General features: G+C 37.0%; 1 long non-coding RNA gene across 5 annotated transcripts in view; it reads right to left on the bottom strand.

Moving 5' to 3' along the window:
* Positions 1–4,121: 4,121 nt before the first annotated feature.
* LOC107986602 (uncharacterized) overlaps positions 4,122–13,671 on the bottom strand; it is a 74,122-nt gene continuing 64,572 nt past the window's right edge. For all 5 annotated transcript variants that reach the window (XR_001744151.1, XR_001744155.1, XR_001744152.1 and 2 more), the window contains one exon: positions 4,122–5,492. This is a non-coding gene — a long non-coding RNA (uncharacterized LOC107986602). The remainder of the gene's footprint in view (positions 5,493–13,671) is intronic.

Genomic DNA, 13,671 nt, shown 5'->3' with positions numbered 1-13,671 from the left:
GGCTCCCTAGGAGGAATGTTCCTACAACATCACAGTAAATGTACTGATAGGTTAATGATTCCTCAGTGTTCCCCCAAAGTTACATATGGCAATTTACTTGGGTAACTGCGTACCAGGTAAAGGCTAATAAGCAGACTTTTTTTTTTTTTTTTTTAATTGAGACGGACTCTTTCTCTGTTGCCAGGGTGGAGTGCAACAGCGTGATCTGGGCTCACTGCCTCCCAGGTTCAAGCGATTCTCCTGCCTCAGCCTCCAGAGCAGCTGAGATTATAGCCTGGTTAATTTTTGTATTTTTAGTAGAGACGGGGTTTCACCAAGTTGGCCAGGCTGGTTTCGAACTCCTGGCCTCAGACGATCTGCCTGCCTCGGCCTCCCAAAGTGCTGGGATTACAGGCAAAAGCCATCTCGCCCAGCCATAAGCAAACATTTTTAGGACTTAGTAGAACAGAGCCAAGACATTTATAACCTGGGAGCTATAACATCCCCATTAGTTCACTTCTTAAAATGGAGGCATAAGAGTACTGATTATCAATGTTCTCTTGTACTCAGTGGGTATAGTAGGTCAGTAATTCCAGCTGGGGGTCATGTCCTATCTCCATATGTATAACTGAATGGACTGACTTAGTAATTGGAAAAAAAATACCCTCACATTTGTTGTTTGGTGCATATGGTAAGGAATATTAGAGTGGGGAAAGACAAGTGAAAAATACTGAAAATTTTTTCATCTCTTCAAGGTATGAATGAACTATATTAAATGATGTTAAATAAAAATGATACCACTTCTAGAAATAATTATAAAAATCATTGACAACATTTCAGACCTCAAGCATATGATGGTAGTGTTTTCTATCTTATTCCCATTTAGTTTACGAGTCTGGCCACAACAAAATTTAGTCAGAGCCTGGAAAATGAAAGTGAACTTCCATAAAGTCAGAGCTGCTATGGCTGGTGTGTTATCTTTGCTAAGGTAAGTCAACATGGCTTTAGGTATATATTTGGACATTGAGCTGGTGTATGTGTTCTTTTCCATACTTATCAGAAAAAGGAACAGAAAGATGGAAAATCAAATACATTTATAATCTTGCCCCAGTACCATGTTAATTTTCTTGCCCTCTGTTATATTATCTAAGGGGACCAGAAACATCTATATTGGACTATCTTAATTGGAACAGTATATTGAATAAATCATATGATTAGAACAAGAAAAGCACAAAATGATAAGTCTGTTGGAGGCTTTAGAAAGACACATATCCTCTAAATATACCTATATACTCTAGAGAGTAGGAGATAAAAACCTATGAAGATATAAGGGTTTGCAATCAGGGAAGATTTTAGGAGGTCAGTAGTCTGTGAAATGCTAAAGCACCCCCTCAAAATAAAGAATATATTGTTAAATTCCACACCTTCACCAAATAAGAAGGAAGGGCAATCCTTGGTAAACTCATGCTAACGCATTAACTAGATAACACAAGGGGTCTGCAAAAAGAAGCCTGCAGTACAAGTCGCCCTGCTTCTTGAGCCATATGTAATAGAAAATGAATTACTGCTAAACTACTATCCCACTCAGAAATCATATTGAAAAGACTAGTGCAGGAAAATTCTCTGAAGGACAAAGCTTTGAGTAGGGTACCTGGTCATTTACTTTTTGTGAAAATAAATGGATTGGCTAGTTGGTCAGGAGCTTTAAAAATGTTGGAAGATCAGGAAAACAAGGCATTTTAGCTTCTTAGGACTGCCATAATAAATATTACCACAAAATTGGTGACTTAGAACAATAGACATTTAATCTCTCACAGTTTGGGAGTCCAGAAGTGTGAAATCAAAGTGTTGGCAGAACCAAAATCCCCTGAAGCCTCTAGGGAGAATCTATCCTTTGCCTCTTCCAGCATCTGGTGGATGTTAGAATTCCTTAAATTGTAGTCACCTATTCCAATCTCTGCTTCTGTGGTCACATTGTGTCGTACTTGTCTTCTTCTGTCTTCTCTGTGTATCTCTTAGAAGGACACGTGTTATTGGATTTAGGGCCCACCCAGATACTCTAAAATAATATACTCATGTCAAGATATTTAGTTACATATGCAAAGACTTTTTTCTTCAAATGTAACTTTCACATGTTTTGGGGATTCAGATGTGGACAGGGTCAGTCCAATAGAAGGAGATATGGAGAAGAGGCATATAGACTGATCTATGAGAATGGATGCAAAATATGAAGCTATTTGTATTATACATATCAAGTTCACCTGTGTCATTTAGTCCATTAGAGACACTAGATAGCCAATTAGACAGAATGTCTTTTACAGGTGACATTTGCCAATCTCTATCATTAGCCAGCCCAGGGCCGGCATGGAGGGTACATGGAATGGAGTAGTCATGATAGCAGCAATGGAGGTTATGCATGAGCCCATGGCATGGGTTCCCACTCATCAATGCAGATCTAGTTATTGCCATTGCCAAATATCCAACATATATTCAAGTCAAGCCCCCAGTATAACACAATCTCTAGAGGAAACAAATAAGGTACTTGGTGATAAGTTGGCTATATTAGATACCTTACATCCTGGAAGGGGCAGTAATTCTTTCTGACTATCAGCCATCTATATTCCTGGTGTGATTTTGCCCTTCTTGTATGCAGAACCATAACAAGCATCACTCTCCAATGTCATAAATTGCATTGGATCTGCTGACATGGGAATACTACATAATTTTATGGAGACCAAGGAATCTACTATATAGCAAGAGATATTTGGGGTTGTCACAGGACTGTGGAATCCACTAGTTCCATCATATACTACACTTCCCAGAGGCTGCTAAACTTTCAACATTGTGTTTAAGGCACAGTGGAAGCACCAGCTTGGAGACTGCTATGTGACACTGGGATACAGAGTTAGGCACAATTTTATGACAGCCTCCAAGATCCTTGTTTTGTGTTGTATAACTTGTGTAATCTGTTGGCCTGTGGATATGATGGCTTTTATTCCCATGAACATGTTACCTTACACTGAAAAAAGGAAAGTTGTATATGTAATTTAGTTTCCAAATGAATTGACTTTAAAATAGGGCGACTATCCAGGTGGGATCGACTATCACCCACGCCCAGCAAATCTGAGTCTAGAGGTCAGAAACAGTCAGAGATTCAAAAAGCATGGGAAGGATTCAATGTGCCATTACTGGCTTTAAGATAGAGAGGTCCACATGGCAAGGAATATGGGTCAGCTTTAGGAGTTGAGAGTGGCTTCTAAATAGGGGCAACAAGGAAACAGAAACTTAGTTCTACAGTTCCAAGGAAACCAATTCTGCCAATAGCAAGAGTCAGCTTGAACCCGATCTTTTACCTGCAGCCTCTAGATGAGAACTTCTCCTGACCAATACGTGAATTTTAGCTTTGTGATACCCTGATCATAGAACACAGCCACATTGTGCCAGTCTTCTAGTCTACAAAACCATGAGCTAACAAATAGATGATGGTTTAAGCTGCTGTGATTGTGGTAATTTATTATGTAGTAATATAAAACTAATACAGATTTCAGTACTTGCAAATAAGTGACTCCTTAACACATAGCTAAAATGAAGGAGTGGTTTTGGAATCAAGAAGTGAGTAAAAGTCGGAATATGTGAAAGAAAATTCTACAATGCCTTGAACACATTGTTAGGGGTAATACAGACATGGATGGCTACCTTGGAGGGCTAAGAAGGAAGTCAACAACATGTTATCACACAGGAGAAAGGAAGATTTTTCATATGTAGCCACTGAAAGCTTAGCAGAAGTTGTCCTAAGTTGTGGAAAGCAAAATGTATGGGCAATTAATTTGGATATAAAGGTGAGGGGACCCCTCCGACCCCCACCAAGTAAAGTGTTTACGGGAAGCACTGGTTTATTCTTGCTGCTTAGAGCAAAATGCAAGAAAAGAAAAATAAAGGAAGAAGTTACAATCAAAGATCACGAGGTCAGGAGATTGAGACCATCCTGGCCAACATGATGAAACCCGTTCTCTACTAAAAATACAAAAAATAAGCTGACCGTGGTGGCGCATGCCTGTAATCCTAACTACTCAGGAGGCTGAGACAGGAGAATCGCTTGAATGAGGGAGTCGGAGGTTGCAGTGAGCCGAGATCGCGCCATTGCACTCCAGCCTGGCAGCAGAGTGAGACTTTGTCTCAAAAAAATAAAAATAAAAAAAGTAATTTCGATAATTTTAGCCTATTCACATGACAAAAGGTGCTAAGATGAGAGCACTAAAGACAGGGTGGCATAGAGAAAAGGCAGAGAGTGTGGTGGTACAAACTCAGACCAAAACCTCAGAATACTCAAAAGGTCAGAAAATTCTGTCATACAACTGGCTCTTTCCATAGATTAAGAAAATGCTTAGAGGACTACTAGGATTAGATTCCATAGATTAAGGAAATGCTTAGAGGACTACTAGGAAGCTTAAGGACTTTGTGCCTCAGTCAGATCAACGGGAGCCAGAAATAGAGGAGGGATTATCTCAAAAAGATTTGTGGGTATGGCTGTTGTCCAATGGAGTGAAACCAAGTACAATTCGTGCAAGATCACAGGTTCTTGGGAAATCCATATCAGCAAAAATACTGCCAGTTTGTACTGCAAGAGCCAGAGAGCGGCAACAAGCAGGCTGATAAAACTTCTTTGCTAGAAACATGTACTACCTTTTACAATAAGAAAGAATGGTTCTAAGGGTAGAAGAAATTGCCCAGAGGGTGGAGCTGAGAGCCCAGAGGGCCATAGAAAATTACTCCCAGATCTTGAAATATAATTTTTAAAAATCCGCTGTTTTCTCAACTTGATTTCAGGAATATTTTGACCAGTTATTCGTTTGTGCTTCCCATTTCTCTTTTTGAACCAGAATGTCTTAAAAGTGTTATCTTATGCCTGCCCCACTATTGAATATTGGGACTTTGGGGAGCAGATAATTTGTCTCTTAGTTTCACAAGTGCAAAATTGGAGGGAAATTTTGCTCCAGCAGCTGTAATGGATTACACCCAGGATCCTCTTCCAAAACTGATATTTGAGATGTTGAGCTGATGCTGACATCCTTGAAAATTTTAGGAAAGGGTGAATGTATTTTGCTTTTGGAAGGGACATGAATCCTTGGGGCCAGAGGGTGAATTATGGCAGGCTGAATTCTACAATAGCCCCAAAGAAATTCTGTCCCTTTAGTGTACAGATACTGCAAAATTCTTAGTTCTGTGAAGATGATGAATTTTACACCTGTGGTTACATTACGTTGTTTTGACTCTGGAGTGGCTGATGGAAACTAGTTCTAGTTCTTAATTTCTTCTTCTGTTGTAGTACATCAGCTCTCTGATCCCACAGTCAGTCCAAATTGACCGGTTGCTATTGTAGTGATCTAGTTATTCTTCTGGTTTCTCTTGTCTATGACAATTGTGTATCCCAGGAAGCTGGTTATATTACAGTTGTGTTTGCTTCAGTTCATGCAAAGATTCTACCTTCTTTCTTTGAGCCTTTTCATATAAGCCTAGAAAAGAAGCAAAAGGGTCTGAAATTAAAAGAGTGAATGATTCCTTTCTGACTGTAACACTCTTGTCTTCAGACAGTTTAAGGTATATGAAATATTGATAGTATGCCTCTAATTATATTTCACTTCAGTGTGGGTCTTGACAGGGGCAGAGCCCAGCTTTCTAGAGGTGAGAATGAAGATATGACTCATAAGAAGAATCCATAGATTTTATTCAGAAGGCATTCCCTGACATTACTGTTGAAGATGGATTTTTTCTTGATTCTCATGTGCTATCTGCCAGAAATGATTTCAGCTTCTGCTCTTGTTCAGTTTATGCTTTTAGGTGCCTAACAGACCTTTAGAATACCTAAGTTGGTTTCATCTTCAGTGAAATTAGAATGTGTATTTTCCTGCTCCTTGAAATAAAGTAAATTTTAAAAATAAGAATCAAACTTGATGTGTTACTCTCTCCATCTTCTTGCCTCAAAAGAGTATTTTGAGAAAGAGCAGCTAAAGCCAAGTTCATTGAGCTAAGAATGGTTTACTACAGAATGCTGTGATAGGAAAAACATCCGTGGGAGACGTGGAGTGTGGATTACATTTAGGCAGGATATTTGTTGTTAACAGGGTTGTAAAGAACAGCCCTAAAAAAGAAATCATGAACACTGTTACACAATATACCCATGTAACAAACCTTCATGTGTACCCCCTGAATCTAAAATAAAATAAAATAAAAGAAGAAGAAGAGGAACAAGAAGAAGGAGAATGAGAAGGAAAAGAGGAAAACACCATGGGAAAAAGATTGTATGAAAGGTGATGATTAAAAGGACCTGAGTTATCTCTATTTGGATAAGTGTGTCCCTGTGAAACAAGATGGCACTTGCTCCAATCTCCTCTCTCAGTACCCATTGCTTTCCTTCATCACCATATCTAGCCACATGTGTCCTGAAGGATAGCAAGACCCCTCCTCCCTGAAAGGATGAATTCTCTAACAATCAGTGAACTAAGGGCAGCTCTAACTTGAGAAGAATATTCATTTGATAAAGTGTTCATTGAATGAACATGAACATTAACTCCTACCTCTTGCTTGGTTCAGAGCTTATGTTGCATGAGTACAAATTAACAATTACCTCTCTGATTTTTTCTTTGTCTAAAATACACACACACACACACACACACACACACACAAACACACACACCCCAATACAGGGTCTCACAGTTTTAACAATGAGAAAACTTGCTGAGGATAAAAATTATATCATTTAAAATATCAAATTCTAGGTTAGAGTTCCTTCTTGTAGCTCTCTGTAAAGAGAAAGGATTGACACCCAGTATCTTCTTCCATAAGTAATCATTCAACTCATCACCACTTCTCAGAAGGCAGAAGAAGCCATAGTCAGATATTTTTTCTGAGGAATTTTTTATTTTCATAATATATTAATGTTAAATGTCTTTTTTGGGTCTTTATTTTGTATCAGACTATTTATGTCAATTACAAATTCCAATGAGAATATTTTTGTGTTATTCATGTACATGACTATACAAATATCAACAAGACCTTTGACAGGGTAAAAAGTACCATTAAAAGTTTTCTTTTAATGCCCAGTGAAATTCAGATGCATTACATTTACAGTGTTAGATGTCTAATCTGAAGGCCCAATAACCCTTTTAAATAAATAAAATGAAATTACAAACAGAAGTAGTTTTAAAATTATACCAGAATATGTTTTACTGCATTAAGAAAAGCACAGTTTAGTGTAGAAGCAAATGAAACCTATGTACTTAAAAATTAGAAAAAAAAATTACTGCCCTTTTAATTACTTAAAGGACATTTCTCAAAAGAATAAAAATTTGCAATTTAGCAAAATAGATGGAAGAGAGAATGCTGAACAGAGTAGGAAGGCCATTTTAGCCAGTTTGAGAAGGCTTTGGCAATGATCATGAGATGAATATGCAAGAAAAGAATAGGGCAGTGTGTATTTGGACAGGGAAATCACAGAGGAAGGAATAGAAAGGACCCACCACACAAAGACAGTAGCCTGTATTTTTGTGAAAGTTTGTGAACCAGAAGGTGAGACCTCTGCCCTCAGGGCTCTTAAAATCTTTCTGAAACGCAAGACCCCTATGTAGAAAACATAAATATGTAATTTTAAAGCTTAACACAGCATGTATAATTTGGAAAATTTTTGTGACTAACTTAATGTTCCATTAATTTTTTTCCTTATTTTGTACATCTCAGTACTTATATGCAGTTTATATTAACTTTAAATAGATAATATAAATTCTTGTGTACATTTATTCACTTCCTTAACTCAATGACAAGGGCCAGATAAGACAAGGAAATTCCTATGAAAACAAACACACACAAACTACACTGAAATTGAGACATGAAGATAACAGTAAATTTGAAATCAGAAGCATACACACAAAAGGCATGTACACAAACCAGTTTGATCATGACAAATGAATAAAAGGAGAAATAAAAATGGAAACATTTAGGGATGTAGACTGGGTGTACTCCAGTCAGCTGAAAGCATGTTTGCCAAATATCCCTTTGTAGACATTCGCACATACTATGACACCAAAAACAAATATGTTTATGATTCCTTTAAAGTTTGAAAACATTTGTTTCAAGTGTCCCAGTTTCTCCAGCACCCAATAACCTGAAGTTTGGTAAAATATAACTCAATGCTGCTAAAGTTTTTAGTGTTTAAATGAAGGTATCATCCACTGAAATAAATATCACTCCTACATAATTATTAATTTCTTTAAAGAAGAGCTGATATGATAAGATCTGTTATAAGTGTCAGACGAGCCTAACCCTTAATGTGTTAAAATAAAAGACCTTTACAGAAAAAAAGGCAAATTGAAATGGCTGTGAAAATATGTCTATCTTTTAAAAGGAAACACCTTATAAAATACCACTCACTGTACAAACATTCTCATTTTATAAGGTCAATTATTACGGAAAGAGATTACAATAAATTAACCAGTTTCAAGCAGGGACAATGTGTCTAAAATTATATGGTTAGGGCCGGGCGCGGTGGCTCACGCCTGTAATCCCAGCACTTTGGGGGGCCGAGGCTGGCTGATCACAAGGTCAGGAGATCGAGACCATCTTGGCTAACACTGTGAAACCCCATCTCTACTAAAAACACAAAAAATTAGCCGGGTGTGGTGGCGGGTGCCTGTAGTCCCAGCTACTCCGGAGGCAGAGGCAGGAGAATGGCGTGAACCCGGGAGGCGGAGCTTGCAGTGAGCCGGAGCTTGCAGTGAGCTGAGATCGTGCCACTGCACTCCAGCCTGGGTGACAGAGTGAGACTCTATCTCAAAAAAGAAAAAAAAAAAGTGGTTAGGACTGGATTATATATTGAACAATAAACCAAAAAAAAAAAAAAAAAAAAAGAGAGAGAGAGCTTTAAAAAACCTCTTGTTTAACAAAATAAATTATCATCATAACTGCAATGTTTCATAGAACCAGTGAGAACAAGTATTGATTTAGGGCAGGAGGAAGAGTCATAATTTTTCTGACAAAACTATGTGGATGTACAAAAGAACACCAATCACTATTTGACTCTGATAGGTAGAACATACTAGTTACTTTTGCCAAAAACTATATATGAAGGTTTTATCAATTTTACTAAGGCCTCTTTTAATATTTTGATATTTATATGTTATTTTTGAAGTTTTGTATCATTTTCTGTAGCTGTTGAGCTACGCACCCCAGGAAGGTATGTGTCCAAGTCCTAACCTCCCAGCCCACCACTGTCTGTGCCTGTGATTTTATTTAGAAATAGGATTTTTGCAGATGTAAAAAAGTTAAGATGAGGTCATACTATGTCAAAGTGGGCCCTAAATCCATTGACTTATGTCTTTACAAGAAATAAAGGGTAATCAAATAGGAAGAGAGGAAGCCAAATTATCTCTGTTTGCAGATGACATGATTGTATATTTAGAAAATCCCATCGTCTCAGCCCCAAAACTCCTTAAGCTCATAAACAACTTCAGCAAAGTCTCAGGATATAAAATCAATGTGCAAAAATCACAAGGATTCCTATACACCAATAATAGACAAACAGAGAGCCAAATTATGAGTGAACTCCCATTCACAATTGCTACAAAGAGAATAAAATACCTAGGAATCCAACTTACAAGGAATGTGAAGGACCTCTTATAGAAGAACTACAAACCACTGCTGAAGGAAGTAAGAGAGGACACAAACAAATGGAAGAACATTCCATGCTCATGGATACGAAAAATCAATATCGTGAAAATGGTCATACTGTGCAAGGTAATTTATAGATTCAATGCTATTCCCATCAAGCTACTATTGACTATCTTCACAGAATTATAAAAAAATATTTTAGGCCAAATGGGTGGCTCACGCCTGTAATCTTAGCACTTTGGGAGGATGAGGCGGGTGGATCACGAAGTCAGGAGTTCAAGACCAGCCTGGCTAAGATGGTGAAACCCCGTCCCTAATAAAAATACAACAATTGGCCAGGCGTGGTGGTGGGGACCTGTAATCCCAGCTACTTGGGAGGCTGAGGCAGAGAATTGCTTGAACCCGGGAGTCAGAGGTTGCAGTGAGCTGAGATCATGCCACTGCACTCCAGCCTGGGCAACAGAGCAAGACTCAGTCAAAAAAAAAAAAAGCAACACTAATTTAAATTTCATATGGAACCAAAAAAGAGCCCGTATAGCCAAGACAATTCTAAGCAAAAGGAACAAAGCTGGAGGCATCATGCTACCTGACTTCAAACTACACTACAAGGCTACAGTAACCAAAACAGCTTCATAGTGGTACCAAAACTGATATATAGGCCAATGGAACAGAACAGAGACCTCAGAAATAACACCACACATCTACAACCATTGGATCTTTGACAAACCTGACAAAAACAAGCAATGGGGAAAGGATTGCCTATTTAATAAATGGTGTTGGGAAAACTGGCTAACATTATGCAGAAAACTGAAACTGGATCCCTTCCTTACACCTTATACAAAAATTAACTTAAGACGGATTAAGGATTTAAATGTAAGACCTAAAACCATACAAACCCTAGAAGAAAACCTAGACAATACCATTCAGGACACAGGCATTGGCAAAGACTTCATGACTAAAACATCAAAAGCAATGGCAACAAAAGCCAAAATAGGCAATGGGATCTAATTAAACAAAAGAGCTTCTGCACAGCAAGAGACTATCACCAGATTAAACAATCAACCTACAGAATGGGAGAACATTTTTGCAATCTATCCATCTGACAATGGGTTAATATCCAGAATCCACAAGGAACTTAAACAAATTTACAAGAAAATAACAAACAACCCCATCAAAAAGTGGGCAAAGGATATGAACAGACACTTTTCAAAAGAAGACATTTATGCGGCCAACAAACATATGAATAAAAGCTCATAATCACTGGTCATTAGAGAAATGCAAATCAAAACCACCATGAGATACCATCTCATACCAGTTAGAATGGCAATCATTAAAAAGTGAAGAAACAACAGATGCTGGAGAAGATGTGGAGAAATAGGAATGCTTTTACACTGTTGGTGGGAGTATAAATTGGTTCAACCACCGTGGAAGACAGTGTGGTGATTCCTCAAGGATCTAGAACCAGAAATACCATTTGACCCAGCAATCCCAGTACTGGTTATTTACCCAAAGGATTATAAACATTCTACTATAAAGACACATGCACATGTATGTTTACTGCAGCACTGTTCACAATAGCAGACTTGGAACCAACCCAAGTGCCTATCAATGATAGACTGGATAAAGAAAATGTGGCACATATACCCCATGGAATACTATGCAGCCATGAAAAAGGATGAGTTCATGTCCTTTGCAGGGACATGGATGAAGCTGTAAACCATCATTCTCAACAAACTAACACAGGAACAGAAAACCAAACACTGCATCTTCTCACTCATAAGTGGGAATTGAACAATAAGAACATATGGGCACAGGGAGGGGAACATCATACACTGGGGCTTGTTGGGGGCTGGTGAGCAAGGGGAGGGATAGCATTAGAAGAAATAAGTAATGTAGATTACAGGTTGATAGGTACAGCAAACCACCATGGGACATGTGTACCTATGCAACAAACCTGCATGTTCTGCACATGTATTCCAGAACTTAAGTATAATTTTTTTTAAAAAAGAATATGTAGATACATAAAAGATACATAAGGTATCTTTCCTGAATTTTGGATAAAGTAGGTACCTAAAGGTACATGTAGTATACATGAAGCATTTTTTTTTATGTAACTTGGATACATAGATACATAAAGAAAATAATGCTATGTGAAGACAGAGACAGATTCGAGTGATGAGTCTACAAGTCAAAAAATGACAAAGATTTCCAGAAACCACCAGAAACTAGAAGAGAGGCATGGAACAAGATTTTTCCTGAGTCTCTAGAAGGTATCAATAGTGCTAACACATTAATTTTGGGCTTCTAGCCTTCAGAACTGTGAAGGAATAAGTTTTTGATGCCGTAAGCCATTCAGTGTGTGGTAGGTACTTTGTTATGTCAGCGCTGGGAAATGAATACATCATCCTCATCAATTATCTCTCCTTCAGTTCTTAACTCATCTATCTCTTTCAAATCTTTATCTATCAGTCTCTTTATCAGTAATTTAGTTCCACATTTTTTGTTCCTAAGGACTTTATAGAATTGCTATTTTTGTGTGATTTAAATTTGGAGATCGATTTACTTGCAATTTTGAGATATATAAAACAGATAGACCATAACACAGTGGGAAGGATTAGAATGGAATGCTAAGGTGAAAAGAGTTTAAAGAGGGATAACATATATACAAGGTCAGTTAACTGTTACATTTTTCTTTGTGATGACTTGTTTCCCTAGACATTGCCATGATTGTAGAACTCAGATAATGAATAATCAGGTAATAACGACCAACTGTTCTTTATTTAACTTGACTTTTGAAAGAAAAGGGAAGATTTCTTGGAAAAACAACTTTAATACAGACTTGAGAGAGACTTCATATTTGATGAAAGTAGAAGACTCACAGAAAGTTCTAGATACTAAATTTGCAGTTTGAAGTGAAGTGAGAGGGGAGTTATAAAAAAAAGAATGCACTATTGGATTATCAGTTTATTAAAATATAAAAATTTTATAGAGAGTATATGAAAAGCCATTGATTGAAATATTTTCAGGCAGTCGATTCTCTGAAGATGAGAGAAATTTTTAAGTAATTAAAATAGAAATACTTCAGAAATGAAATAGATATAATAAAAAGCTATAAAATGAGATAAATTATGAAAATTAGGCATCAGAAGAGAAAGACAAGTCTCCTCAGTACCGTGTAAAATAAGAATGCCAATAATATCTATGTTTGTAGTTTCCTTATAATGGAAATTTCTGAAGTGCTGTCTTGAAAATGAATAGATCCTGATTGAAAATGAAAGAAAATAATTTTAATAGACTGATAAGAATAGTAGAGTTGTGCAATTGAGAATTCTTAAATAATTTAGATGTATCTATTTATATGGTTTTTTTCCACAAAGGTTTTCAATAAGAGATCAGTGACTATATGAACTGCTTCCTTATGTAGGGGAAAAGATATATATATTTAGAAATCAGTCTGTCAACCAAGCAAGAGACATGGTTGAGTAACCTACAGATGAAGCGCATTGTACTTAATATGGTATGTAAGGATGGAAAAATAAATTAGTATAAACTTGAGAGATATTAAAAAATATTTACAGAGTATTTGAATTGTGATCATTAGAAGATCATGCTCCTAATTATTTTATATGATCATATTGTTTAGCTGTTTGAAATTATACTTTGATTTACTATAACCTAAAGGATAAACTTTAGAATCATAAACATGATATATGTTAGACCCTTGAAATTTGCTACAACTTTTCCCACTGCTTCCTGGGCCTCCACTTTTCCTCTTTCTTATCTCATCCACACATAGGCCTTTGATGTTATCATATAAAATTGTTATTTTTTTCCTAAACTGCTTATGTCCTTAGCAAACATTTTTCCCTTCCTCTTTGTCCTTCTGAGTAAACTTTCCTGCATTTTAACACTTTGCTCAAGTTTCACCTCCTTTATGAGGTCTTCCATGATTTCATTATCTAGTAATTATGTTTATATTTATCAGATAAATATCTGATAAACAGTATTTCTTGAGAAAATACCTACAAAACA

Source organism: Homo sapiens, chromosome 6 (assembly GCF_000001405.40).
Source record: "Homo sapiens chromosome 6, GRCh38.p14 Primary Assembly".
Taxonomy (NCBI): Eukaryota; Metazoa; Chordata; class Mammalia; order Primates; family Hominidae; genus Homo; species Homo sapiens.
Note: the sequence above shows the minus strand (reverse complement) of the source record. Positions and strands in the feature narration are given on the sequence as shown.